This window comes from Homo sapiens, chromosome 19, assembly GCF_000001405.40.
Source record: "Homo sapiens chromosome 19, GRCh38.p14 Primary Assembly".
NCBI classification, from domain to species: Eukaryota; Metazoa; Chordata; class Mammalia; order Primates; family Hominidae; genus Homo; species Homo sapiens.
Genome location: NC_000019.10, coordinates 6,160,910 through 6,174,714, shown reverse-complemented (window position 1 = coordinate 6,174,714; position 13,805 = coordinate 6,160,910). Strand labels below are relative to the sequence as shown.

At 45.9% G+C, this 13,805-nt stretch overlaps 1 protein-coding gene and 1 long non-coding RNA gene across 14 annotated transcripts in view, besides 1 other annotated feature; one reads left to right on the top strand and one right to left on the bottom strand.

Annotated features, from left to right (window-relative positions):
• The window catches only part of LOC105372255 (uncharacterized), a 74,099-nt gene that overhangs the window by 24,810 nt on the left and 35,484 nt on the right, over positions 1–13,805 (top strand). Inside the window, exon 3 of one of the 2 annotated variants that reach the window (NR_187773.1) lies at positions 345–4,259. The exons of the other annotated variant lie outside the window; for it this stretch is intronic. This is a non-coding gene — a long non-coding RNA (uncharacterized LOC105372255). Of the gene's footprint in view, positions 1–344; positions 4,260–13,805 lie in introns of those variants that run through there. 2 annotated transcript variants of the gene reach the window in all.
• Positions 1–13,805, bottom strand: part of ACSBG2 (acyl-CoA synthetase bubblegum family member 2) — a 57,459-nt gene that overhangs the window by 18,377 nt on the left and 25,277 nt on the right. For 11 of the 12 annotated variants that reach the window (NM_001289180.2, NM_001289177.2, NM_030924.5 and 8 more), the window contains 2 exons: positions 13,420–13,500; positions 8,700–8,849 (listed from right to left, as the gene is read on the bottom strand). In NM_001289180.2, coding sequence (NP_001276109.1) covers positions 8,700–8,849; positions 13,420–13,446 — 177 coding nt within the window. In that variant the 5' untranslated portion in view covers positions 13,447–13,500. Of the gene's footprint in view, positions 1–8,699; positions 8,850–13,419; positions 13,501–13,805 lie in introns of those variants that run through there. The other variant, XM_011528329.2, reaches the window with a different exon arrangement.
• Positions 13,171–13,230: a silencer, noted in NCBI's record as "silent region_9945". NCBI's record gives its function as "represses an Ori minimal core promoter by ATAC-STARR-seq in GM12878 lymphoblastoid cells {active_cell/tissue: GM12878}" and the evidence as "EXISTENCE:reporter gene assay evidence [ECO:0000049][PMID:35858748]".

Below are 13,805 nucleotides of genomic sequence, written 5' to 3'. Positions count from 1 at the left end.
CAGCCTCCCGAGTAGCTGGGACTACAGGCATGTGCCACCATGCCCAGCTAATTTTTAAAACATTTTTGTAGAGATGAGGTCTTGCTGTGTTTCCCAGCCTTCTCTCAAACAATCCTGGCTTCAAGCAATCCTCCTGTCTCGGCCTCCCAAAGTGCTGGGATTACATACATAAGCCACTGCACCCAGCCAAATACAATATTAATAGCTATCCTTGACATGGCTTCCTGTATGCCAGGCATTGTTCTAAGCATTTTATGTATATGTGGTAGATTAAACAGAGCTGCAGATTCTCTGCTACTCCTCCCATTCTGAGGTGGAATTTGTTTCTCTTTCCTTTGAGACAGAATTGGTCCAGTGATTTGTTTTGACTGACAGAAAGGAGCAGAAGGGATGCTGTGGAAATTCTGGGACTGACAAATCTTTGGGACCACTTGCTGTTGGGAGAGTCAGCCACCAGGTTAAGAAGTTCAAGAGTGATGGCCAAGCGTGGTGGCTCATGTTTGTAGTCCCAGCACTTTGGGAGGCCAAGGCGGGTGGATCACCTGAGGTCAGGAGTTCGAGACCAGCCTGGCCAACGTGGTGAAACCCCATCTCTACTAATAATACAAAAATTAGATGGGTGTGTTGGCACACGTCTGTAATCCCTGCTACTCAGGAGGCTGAGGTGGGGGAATCGCTTGAAATTGGGAGGCAGAGGTTGCAGTGAGTCGAGATTGTGCCACTGCTCTCCAACCTGAGCGACAGAGCAGACTCTGTCTCAAAAAAAAAAAAAAAAAATAGTTCAAGAGTGATGTCCTCATGTTGGTCCTGTAAGCTACCCACAGACAGCATGACCCTGCCCAGAGCCCTGTGGCTTGGGCTCAGCGTGGCTGACAAGTGTCATCTTCCCTATTGTGGAAAGCCTTGTGGTTTGGAACCAGAAGGATATGAATGAGAATCTGCCACTTGCTAACAGTGTATTGATACGTGATGGCTGACAACGGACATCAGATGTCAGTTTTCAGGAAGAAGATCAAAATTACTGGTAAATGGATAAGTTTTGAACTGAAAATGGAGGAAGGAGAGGCAGGACCTCTTGGAGTGCCCACAGGAAGAAGCTGCGGCGTAGGAAAGGAAAGCTGCAAGGGCCTGTCAAAGATCAGCTCCTGAGGAACTCAGAGCCCCATGGAAAGGATAGGTGGGAGTGCTTCTTTGCTTCCCACTCGCCTTTGACAATATCCTGGTCACTAAACTCTCAGGGAGCTCCTCTGCCCTTGCAACCCAGGCCAACACCATCGGTGCTGATTAGAGAACTTCCCAGGGACAGAGAACCAGGTGGTCAGTTCACACAGGCATGCCCACACTCCCCTCAGACCTGAACTGAGACAGCAGGCACCACACTGGTTGTGCACCTGTGGTGCCACTGCCCTGCCTGGGGATTCTCTGCCCTTGACCCACTGCACCACCAGATTCCCCACAAACATACCCCACAACGCGCTGTGACTTTGGCAAGCACAAGGGACCAGTGAGCCTCTGGGGGGCCGCAGGATCCCTGAAGATCTAACCCTTGGCATGGGTAACCCCTAAAGGAGGAGGAGAATGCAGCCCACCAAAGCCCCCCTTGGGACAAAGGAAATGTGGGTGTGGCACAAACCACTGGAGTGGGCAGCACCCATGCCTGGGAAAAGACATGGAGAAGGGGTCATTTCCCACCTGCCCTCCCACCCCACACTGCTGCCAGGAACTAAAGGATGAAGCCTTTATAAACAGAAGATTGTGAGCCCCATGACAGGGGTGTGATAGAGAAGCGGACTGCATTCCTGCTGGCTGAGGACAAGGAGCTGGTGCATTCCCTGCCCCTACCCCTGAGACCTCAGTGCACCCCATCATGATCTCTTCCTGCTACCTCCATCAGGGTATGCATGCCTACTTGGCACCAGCCTACCTGCTGGTTCTAACTTTTAAGTGCGATCTACTGGACTGCATCCTGCACTGCACCACCAAACAAAAATCTTGCTACTGGAAGGGTTTATTGACAGTGCATGAGATAAGCCTCCTGAGACCTCCACACCCTCAGTCCTGCAGGAGATAGTGTTGGCTGTTATGTCCATTACATCATTACAACAAGCAGCATCTGAGAAAGCCACTGCATAGAAGCTGTCCACAACCATGGAACCCATACAGACCTTAGCCACTGCACAGAAGCTGTCCACAACCATGGAACCCGTACAGACCTTAGCCACTGCACAGAAGCTGTCCACAACCGTGGAACCCATACAGACCTTTGGCCCCCAAAAGCACTCAGAAGCAAGGCCATACAATCACACACAACATACACCACAGCCATACCCTCAAGGGAAACTAGAATTAAAAAATACAAAAGCCCCATCCAAACAATAGAAGATTCAAAAACAAGAAGTGACAGCTCCCTCAGATAAGAAGGAATCAGTGCAAGAAATCTGGCAGTAGAAAAAGCCAGAGTGTTTCAACACCTCCAAAGAATCTCACCAGTTCTCTAGCAATGGGTCCTCATCAGACTGAAATGTTTGAAATGACATATAAAGAATTCAAAATATGAATTGGAAGGAAACTTAATGAGATCCAAGAGAAAGTTGGAAACCAATATAAGGAAACTAGAAGAACACTTCAATATATGAAATACAACATAGATATATTAAGAAAAAACCAAATTGAACTTCTGGAATTGAAAATTTCACTATAGAAATTTAAAAATATAGTTAGACTAGACCAAGCAGAAGAAAGAATTTCAGAGCTTGAAGAATGGTCTTTCAAACAACTCAGACAAAAGTAAAGAAAAAAGAAATAAAAAACCCAAAGTATTTGAGAAATGTGGGATTATGTAAAGCAACCAAACCTGTGACTTAAATGCATTCCTGAGAGAAAAGAAGAAAAATTAAGCAACTTGGAAAACATATTTGAGGGAGTAATACAGGAAAATTTACCTAATCTTGCCAGAGAGGTCAACATCTAGATATGAGAAATCCAGAGAACTCCTGTGAGATGCTACACAATATGGCCACCCCCGAGGCATATAGTCATCAGACCAAGGTCAATGTAGAAAAAAAATAAATCTTAAAGGCATCTAGAGAAAAGGGCCAAATTACATATAAAGGAAATTCCATCAGACGTACAGTGGATTTCTTAGCAGAAACCTCACAAGCCAGAAGAGATTGAGGGCCCATTTTTAGCCTTCTTAAAGAAAAATAAATGCCAGCCAATAATTTTATATCCCACTAAACTAAGTTTCATAAATGGGAAATAAAATATTTCTCAGATAAGCAAATGTAAAGGAATTTGTCATCACTAGATCAGCCCGAAAAGAAATGCCCAAAGGAGTTCTAAACATGAGAACAAAAGAACAATACTTGCTACCATAAAAGTACATGTAAGCACAAAGCCCACAGACCCTATAAAGCAACTAAACAATCAAGAATACAAAGCAAAAACACATGACAGGAACAAAACCTCACATATCAATATTAACCTTGAACATAAACATCCTAAATACAGCACTTAAAAGACATAGAGTGACAAATTTGATAAAAAATAATAATAAATAAGACCCAACCTGCTGCTGCCTTCAAGAGACCCATCTCACATGTAATGACACTCAGAGGCTCAAAGTAAAGGGATGGAGAAAGATCTATCATGCAAACAGAAAACAAATAAGATGAGAGGGTGCTACTGTTTTATCCAATAAAACAGATTGTAAACTAATGACAGTTAAGAAAAAAAAAAAGACAAAGAAAGGCATTATATAATGATAAAGGGTTAAATTCAACCAGAAGATCTAACCACCCTCCCAACATCAGAGCCCCCAGATTTATAAGACAAGTACTACTAGACTTAAGAGATAGCCATACAATAATTGTGAGGGACTTCAACACCCCACTGACAGACAGAACATTGAGGCAGAAAATAAAGAAATACTAGACTAAATTGGACAGTTGACCAAATGGACCTAATAGACATCTTCAGAATACTCTACCCAGTGGCCTCTGAATATACATTTTTCTCATCTGCACATGGAACGTTCTCTAAGATTAACCACATGCTAGGCCACAATGAAAGTCTTAATAAATTTAAAAAAATCAAAATCATACCAAGCATCTTCTCAGACCACAGTGGAATACAATTAGAAATCAATACCAAGAGGAACCCTCAAAACCACACAAATACATGGAAACTAAGCAACTTGCTCCTTAATGACTTTTGGGTAAACAAATTAAAGAAGCAATAAAAACAATCTTTGAAACAAATGAAAATAAAGATACTTTTTAAGTGGGCTTTATTCCTGGGATGCAAGGATGGTTCAACATACACAAATCAATAAATGTGATTCATCACATACACAGAATTAAAATCAAAAGCCATATGATCATCTCAATGGCTGCAGAAAAAGCATTTGACAAAATCCAACATTCTTTATGATAAGAACCCTCAACAAACTAGGCATCAAGGAATATACCCCAAAATAATAAGAGCTGTCTATGACAAACCTGCAGCAAACATCATACTGAAGGGGAAAAGTTGGAAGCATTCCCTCTAAGAACTGAAACAAGACAAGGATATCCACTTTCACCACTGCTATTCAACATAGTACTAGAAGTCCTAGCCAGAGCAATCAGGCACAAGCAAGAAATAAAAGATGTATGAATAGGAAAATAGGAACAGAGGAAGTCAAATTATCTCTGTTCACCAATGATATGATTCTACATCTAGAAAACCCTAAAGATTCCTCCAAAACACTCCTAGATAAATGACTTCAATAAAGTTTCAGGATACAAAATCAATGTACAAAAATCAGTAGCATTTCTATATACCAATATTCTTAAAGTTGAAAACCAAATCAAGAATTCAATCCCATTTACAGTAGCTACACAAAAAATAAAATACCCACAGACACATTTAACCAAGGAGATGAAAGACTTCTACGAGAATAACTTTTCAAAACATTGATGAAAGAAATCACAGATGACACAAATGGAAAAGCATTCCATGCTCATTGACAGGAAGAATCAACATTGTTAACATGACCATACTGCCCAAAGCAATCTACAGATTCATCACAATTCCTATCAAATTACCAATATGATTTTTCACATAATTATATAAAACAATTCTAAAATTTATATGGAACCAGAAAGCCCAAATAGAGCAATCCTAAGCAAAAAGAACACAGCTAGAGGCATCACATTATCTGACTTCAAATTATACTACAAGGCTATAGTAACTAAAACAGCATGGTACTGGTACAAAAATAGGCACAGAGATCAATGGAACAGAATAGAGAACTCAAAAATTAAGCCACACACAACCAACTGATTTTTGACAAAGTCAACAAAAATAAACAATGGGGAAGGACATCCTATTCACTAAGTGGTGCTGGGAAAACTGGCTAGCCATGTGCAGAAGAATGAAGAAACTAGAAGAAAACCTAGGAAAAATTCTTCTGGACATTGGGCTAGGCAGAGAATTTATGACTAAGACCACAAAAACAAATACAACAAAACCAAACATGGACAATTGGGACTTAAGAGCTTCTGCACAGCAAAAGAAACAATTAACAGAGTAAAGACAACCTACAGAATAGGAGAAAATATTTGCAACTGTGCATCAATTAAAGGACTAATATTGGCCAGGCGCCATGGCTCACGCCTGTAATTCCAACACTTTGGGAGGCTGAGGTGGGTGGATCACTTGAAGTCAGGAGTTCGAGACCAGCCTGCCCAACATAGCGAAGCCCCACCTCTTCTAAAAATACAAAAATTAGCCAGGTGTGGTGGTGGGTGCCTGTAATCCCAGCTGCTTGGGAGGCTGAGGCAGGAGAATTGTTTAAACCTGGGAGGTGGACATTGCAGTGTGCCGCGATAGTGTCACTGTACTCCAGCCTGGATGACAGAGCAAGACTCTGTTTCAAAAAAAATAAAAATAAAAAAGGACTAATATTCAGAATCTATAAGGAACTTAATAAGAAAAAAACCAGCCCCTTTAAAAAGTGGGCAGTCTTGCTCCAGGATCTATGCTCATAATGCCTGTGCTAGGAGAATGTCTTACCACACATGCAGCCACTAGGAGCATAAATACTAGCCAGCATAGAGGGGAATATCCTGTTTAATCAGATTTCCCTCATTCATTCATTTCCCAAAAGTGGATTGAGTCCTCCTGCTCATCAGGCACTGCAGTTACAGTAGTGAATAAGACAGAAAACCCCTGACCTCAAGGAGCTGATGTTCCTGATAAACAAATGAGCATATAATATGACAGTGTCAAAATTTTCTAAGGAAGAAAAAAAGTAGCCAAATGGGAATTAGGTAGTAATGGGGTGGTTTATTGTTTGCTATTTCAAACATGGAAGTTAGGGAGGGCTTCACTGAGGAAGTGACACTGAGCAGAGACCCACCCGAAGGAGGGGAGGGAACAAGCTGTGTGGAAAAATACTTCCCACGGAGCTCATGCAAAGACCAAGAGGCAGGACGTGTCTGGTGTGTTGGAGGAACAGCAAGGAGGACCATGTGGCTAGAACAGAGTGAGCAAGGGGGAGAGAGGGAGGAGAGGAGAGGAGAAGGGAGATGGGGCTAGGCTTGCAGTGCCTTGTGGGCCTCAGGAGACTTGGGCTTTTACCTGGAGGGAAGTGGGAGCCATGGAGGGCTGCAGACAGAGGAGGATTGGGACTTGACTCAGGTGCTCACAGGCACTCTCTGGTGGCTGTAGAGAGGATAGACTGGGGGTGGGGGTGAGGGTGGGAGTTGGGTGGGAGGCGGGTAACCGGATGGGGTGGAAGCAACCACACAGGTCCAGGGGAGCGATGATGGAGACTGGGCCAAAAATAATTTTTCTCTATCATGCATCATACAATTGAGTCCAAGGGCTTCTGTAATGTCTGAACTTTTAATTTGTACTCCCGTGATTTATTGCCAAACTTGAAGCCTGCTTTCCTTGTTGTTATAGCAAAATATATTTATGCATCAAATTTTACAGGAAGCCAAGTTTTAATTTACATATAGACCTTAGTCCTGGGCCCGTGATATTGCTCAGACAGACAGTGTGGGAGAGTAAAAACCATAGTTGTAGAAAAATCAGAAAACTTCTAAGAGGCCTTGAGCTAAGATGCAGGAGGAGGAAAGGAGTTCTGCTGAAGGAGACAGTGTTGGCAAAAGATTTGGATTCATGTTAAAATGAGAAATTCAGAGAAGATTTCCAGGGTGTGGATCTAGGATCGGGACCTCCAGACCCAGGGGGATGATCCTAGCTCCACACCTTGCTATACAGCACTAGCTGAGACAGTGTATTAAGGGAGTGGAGGCTGACTTTTGCAATCTTCCATTGCTGACCTTCCATGGGCCAGGCCCTCTGCCAGAATTGGGCCCTCTACTCTCCCCATTTTACAGTTGGGCAAACTGACACACAGTTTGGTGATGTCATATGACCAATGTCACACCAGCTTACATGGTTACTTACAAGTAGCAAAGCCAGGATTCCAACACTGAGGTGGTCAGACACCAGTGTGTGCTGGTAACTATTACCCTAGGCTGAGGGGGGGCAGGGAAGCATTTATAAGAATGCTTTTATAGAAATTCTTCATTTAAAAACCAGCAGGCCAGGTGTGATTGCATGCACCTGTAGACCCAGCTACTTGGGAGGCTGAGGCAGAAGGATCACTTGAGCCTGTTGAGTCTGAAGCTTAAGTGCATGATGATTGTGCCTGTGAGTAGTCACTGCACTCCAGCCTGGGCAACATGGTAAGAACCCATCTCTAAAAACAGTGTAAAAACAGACCAGGTGCTGTGGCTCACGCCTGTAATCCCAACACTTTGGGAGGCCGAGGCAGGCAGATCACTTGAGGTCAGGAGTTTGAGACCAGCCTGGTCAACGTGGTGAAACTCCATCTCTACCCAAAATACAAAAAATTAGTTGGATGTGGTGGCACTGGCTTGTAGTCCCAGATACTCAGGAGGCTGAGGCACGAGAATTGCTTGAACCCAGGAGGCAGTGGTTGCAGTGAGTGGAGTGCCACTGTACTCCAGCCTGGGGCACAGAGCCAGACTCGGTCTCAAAAAGCAAAACAAAACAAAACACACACACAACTGAAAAATAAAGTAGGCTGGGCGTGGTGGCTCATGCCTGTAATCCCAGCACTTTGGGAGGCCAAGGCGGTGGATCACCTGAGGTCAGGAGTTCAAGACCAGCCTGGCCAACTTGGTGAAACCCTGTCTCTAATAAACATACAAAAATTAGCCAGGCATGGTGGCGGGTGCCTGTAATCCCAGCTACCTGGGAGGCTGAGGCAGGAAAATCACTTGAACGGAGGCAGAGGTTGCAGTGAGCCAAGATTGCGCCACTGCACTCCAGCCTGGGCGACAGAGGGAGACCCCATCTCAAAACACACACACACACACACACACACACACACACACACACACACACACACACAACCTTCCTGACTCACACAGAGGAATCATTGTCTGCTGGGTGCATACCCTGCCAGACATTTTTCTGCTTTTGACATGGCCAGCATTCCTTGATCTCAATCACTGCACTCTGCTGCCCCCTAGTGAAGCAACTACGCTACTCTCTAACCCCCAATGGTGAAGGAGCCACACTGCGTACTAGACCCTGGAATGCCACCCTGCCCCTGGAAGCCAACAAGAGAAACAGCCCAAAGGCCACCACTCCAGAGCAAAGGGACTTTGGCGTACGTTGTCATGACTGAGCATCACTCCCTTGGGTATGCCTGTGGTCCCTGAAGTGTAGATGAGCACTGCGCATTGATTCGCCTTCTGGCTCTCGATGACCTGCTCCAGTTGGGTGTCAGGGATACTTCTGCCAAGTTCCATGAAATCATCCCACTGTGGACAGAAAAGACAAGCGGAGGATGAGAAGGCAGTCGGGAGTCCTCTCACCCAGCCAGACCTCGTCCTATCAGCTTTTCCTAAAGAATGATCCTCAGCAGGTGGAAGGGCTTAGGATGTGCCAGTCCTGGCACCTCTTACAAAAGTCCCAAGATCTCTGCTTCCAGTTCTGCCACTTCCTCGCAGCGTCACCAAGCCACTTAAGCTCCCTGTGCCTCAGTTTCCTCATTTGTAAAATGGGAATGATGTCAGGACGCAACTCCTTGGGTTGTTCTAAGCAGTAAGAGAGTTAATATATGCAAAGTGCTCAGAATAGTAGTTGGCAGGTGGTAAGTGTTCTACGGAGTTAGGTATTATTTGTTCGCTGCCTTCCCAAATTCCACTCCCCACTCTACTTCTTAGTCACCAATTGGATGGGGCTGACTTCACCCACAGATCTGGAAGTCAACCCTAATTGGCTCAAACTGTTCTATCAGCCTGGGTTATGGTGATTGGATCAAGTCTGGACATGTGACCTCAAGTGGTCCAATCATAATGAAGATGAAGACTTTACCTGGGAATTCTGAGACACAGACTGTGTATGTGAATGAGTCAAGATGTAGCTCTAGGAGCTGCTGAACCATCTCAGGACTATGTGAGAAAGCAAGGCTGGAGCGGAGCCAAGAAATAGAGAAAGGAAAATAGAGCCTGGGCACATTCTTTGAGCCCCTGGTTCCAGCCATGCCTGAAATCCACGCCCTGAACTGTAGTTGCATGGTCCAACAGATTATCTTTTTGTTTGTTTGTTGCTTAAGCCATTTGGGGTCAGACTTTTGTCACTTACGACCAAAGGCATCCTTATTGATAATTGATGCATTGCCTCACTCTGGCAGGTGAAGAAGCTGAGGCTCAGGGGTGGTAGATTACTTGCCCAAGGCAGATTACTTAAGGCAAGTGAAGAGAGGAGCTAGCATTCAAACCCAAGGTCTGACTCCAGAGCCTGTGCTCTTAACTATGACAGAATTCGGTGCCGCAAAGTGAACTCTTGGGTTGTATCGACTGAGCATCACATGGGATCTGCAGAAATTCTACCATTGAACCCCCAACAAAGCACTGGATGAGGGTGATGCGCTGACTTAAAGATGGAGGCCCCTCGGCCAGGCACGGTGGCTCACACCTGTAATCCCAGCACTGGGAGGCTGAGGTGGGCGGATCACGAGGTCAGGAGTTCAAGACCAACATGGCCAGCATGGTGAAACCCCATCTCTACTAAAAATACAAAAATTAGCCGGGTGTGGTGGCAGGCGCCTGTAATCCCAGCTCCTCAGGATGCTGAGGCAGGAGAATCGCTTGAAATGGGGAGGTGGAGATTGCAGTGAGCCAAGATCACGCCACTGCACTCCAGCCTGGGCAACAGAGTGAAACTCCATCTCAAAAAAAAAAAAAAAAGGCCCCTCAAAGTCCTCTACAGATGGCCAGTGTTGCCTGAAACCTGCCCAGGGTGATGCTGGCTTCATCTGAGCAGGCAAAGCCCTTTGCCCAGATAATCTGTAACAAGGTAGGGCAAGGGTGAGAGGAAGAGCACACACAAGCCCTCTGGGGGAACCTGTCCTTTCTCAGAGATGCCCCTAGGTCTCCCTACAAAGGGTGTTCCTTCAAAGGCCGGTAGAAGACCCCCGGCTTCCACAGCCACAAATGACTGGATTGGGATGGGCACCAGACCCATGCTGGTCCAATCCAATCCCCTGTCTTGGAGATCTGGGTTGGTCCTCAGTCTGTTGGGCACACAGATGCCAAGCATCACAACTGGCACAGTTCATTGTCTTACTCGGCCATTTTCCTTCCCAAATGTCACAGTCCACTTTCTCAGTCTCATTCGTTTTTGCTCATTTCTGGGTCCTAAACTAAATCTTTTTCTTTCTTTCTTTCTTTTTTCTTTTGAGACAAGAGTCTTGCTCTGTCACCCAGGCTGGAGTGCAATGGCGTGATCTCAGCTCACTGCAACCTCCACCTCCCAGGTTCAAGTGATCCTCTTTAGCCTCCCGAGTAGCTTGGACAGGCATGCACCACCACGCCTGGCTGTTTTTTTTTTTTTTTTTTGTATTTTATTTTATTTATTTGTTTATTTGGAGACAGAGTCTTGCTCTGTCGCCCAGGCTGGAGTGCAGTGGCGTGATCTCCGCTCACTGCTCTTGGCTCACTGCAACCTCTGCCTCTTGGGATCAAGTGATTCTCCTCTCTCAGCCTCCTGAGTAGCTGAGACTACAGGTGCGTGCCACCACGCCCGGCTAATTTTTGTATTTTTAGTAGAGGTGGGGTTTCACCATATTGGTCAGGATGGTCTCGAACTCCTGACCTCAGGTTATCCACCCACCTCGGCTTCCCAAAGTGCTGGGATTACAGGCATGAGCCACCACACCCAGCCTTTTTTTTTTTAGATGGAGTCTCGCTCTTTCGCCAGGCTTGAGTGCAGTGGCACTATCTCGGCTCACTGCAACCTCCGCTTCCCGGGTTCAAGTGATTCCCCTGCCTCAGCCTCCTGAGCAGCTGGGACTACAGGCGCATGCCACCATGCCCAGCTAATTTTTTGTATTTTTTAGTAGAGACGGGGTTTCACCATGTTGGCCAGGATGGTCTGTACCTCCTGACCTCATGATCTGCCCGCCTCAGCCTCCCAAAGTGCTGGGATTACAGGTGTGAGCCACTGTGCTTGGGCGATTATTATTATTATTATTATTATTATTATTATTATTATTATTATTTGTATTTTTAGTAGAGACAGGGTTTCTCCATGTTGGCCAGGCTAGTCTCGAACTCTTGACCTCAGGTTATTTGTCCACCTCAGCCTCCCAATTACAGGCATGAGCTACTGTGCCCAGCCTAAACAGAATCTTAAAATGGTAGGTTCTACTCTCCCTTGCAGAGGAGTAGATGCCCTTCTATGTGACTCTCCCCTATAAATTAGCGTCTTCAACCAGGGGTGATACTACTCCACCACCGCCCACCCTCCCCCCACCAGGGTATATTAGGCAGTGTCTGGAGACACTTTTGGTTGTTTCAAGTGGGAGGCAGGGGATATATTCCTGGCATCCAGTGAGTGGAGGCCAGCAATGCAGCTCAACATCCTACAGGGCGTCGGACAGCTCCTTAGAGAATTACCTGCCCCAAATGTCAACAGCAAGGAGGTTGAGAAACCCTGCTGTAAGTGTTATTGCTAACAAAGTAGTCTTTTAAGTTATCCGAGACTTAAGACTGTTGCTGTAGTGGTCACTTTGAACCTCTAAAAAGTTTGTAATTTTTTTTTTTTTTTTTTTTTTGAGACGGAGTCTTGCTCTGTTGCCCAGGCTGGAGTGCAGTGGCGCGATCTCAGCTCACTGCAAGCTCCGCCTCCTGGGTTCACGCCATTCTCCTGTCTCAGCCTCCCGAGTAGCTGGGACTACAGGCGCCCACCACCACGCCTGGATAATTTTTTTGTATTTTCAATAGAGACGGGGTTTCACCGTGTTAGCCAGGATGGTCTCGATCTTCTGACCTCGTGATCCGCCTGCCTCGGCCTCCCAAAGTGCTGGGATTACAGGTGTGAGCCACTGGCGCCCGGCCTTTTTTTTTTTTTTTTTTTGAGACAGAGTCTCACTCTGTTGCCAGGCTGGAGTGCAGTGGTGTGATCTCGGCTCACTGGAACCTCCGCCTCCCGGGTTCAAGCGATTCTCCTGCCTCAACCTCCTGAGTAGCTGGGACTACAGGCACGTACCACCATGCCCAGCTAATTTTTGTATTTTTAGTAGAGACGGTGTTTCACCATGTTGACCAGGATGGTCTCGATCTCCTGAGAAGTCTGCAATTCTAATTGGTTGTCTTAGTCATTGTTATAACAAATTTTGGCTTGGGTATAAATAAAATATTTAAACTTAATGTTGTTAGTTTTAACATAATTTTCAACTTTTTAGTATATTGTTTAATTATCTTAATGTTCTTGGGAAAAAATTAATAACAAAATGACTGATTTTTTTTAGCCACCAGTTTTGGTGGTGATTTGTTGCCCAGCAGTAATTAGCCAGAACAGACACTGTTCATTAATCAGTCCCTTCATGCCAGAAGGGAAAAATGCGTCCCAAAGGTCCCGCCTACGTCCTTTTGCTAGGCCCCCACGCATTGCTCACCTCCCATTTCCCTTTGCAAAGGCCACATCCACTTCCCTTTGCAAAGCCCCACCCACTACATTTATGAAGCCCCACCCACATCCCTTTGCAAACCCCCACCTACCACATTTGTGAGGCCCCATTCCATCTCTGCTTACCTCCCACTTTCTTTGAAAGGCCACACCCACTTCCCTTGTAAGGTCACACCCCCTCCCTCTGCTCACATTTCACGTCCTTTGAAAGGTCACACCCACTTTCCTCACAAGGCCCCACCCACTTCCTTTCCTCACCTTTCACTTCCTTTGAGAGTCCCCACCTACTTCCTTTGAGAGTTCCCACCCTTGCCAGGTCCGACCTCCTCCCTCTGCTCACCTTCCACTTAGGCCACGCCCACTTTTCTTGCAAGGCCCCGCCCTCCCCTTTCCCCAGTGCCCACCTCCCACACTTACAGAGTACAAGTTGTTGTTCTTCTTCATTGGCAGTCTGTACTGGATGATCGCTTTTAGGGGCTCTAGGCTGCTCTGTGGAATCTGAAAGAAAGTTCCCTGTGGGCTTCATGGCAACCCAGCCCTGGGAAAGACTAAAGCTGGGTTAGATGTCCTAAGTAAGCTCTCTCCAGCAACTCTAGCCTCTTTTTTTTTTTTTGAGACACAGTCTTGCTCTGTCGCCCAGGCTGGAGTGCATTGGCCCAATCTCGGCTCACTGCAACCTCCGCCTCCCGGGTTGAAGCCATTCTCCCACCTCAGCCTCCTGAGTATCTGGGATTGCAGGCATGTGCCACCATGCCCAGCTAATTTTTGTATTTTTAGTAGAGCCGGGGTTTCACCGTATTGGC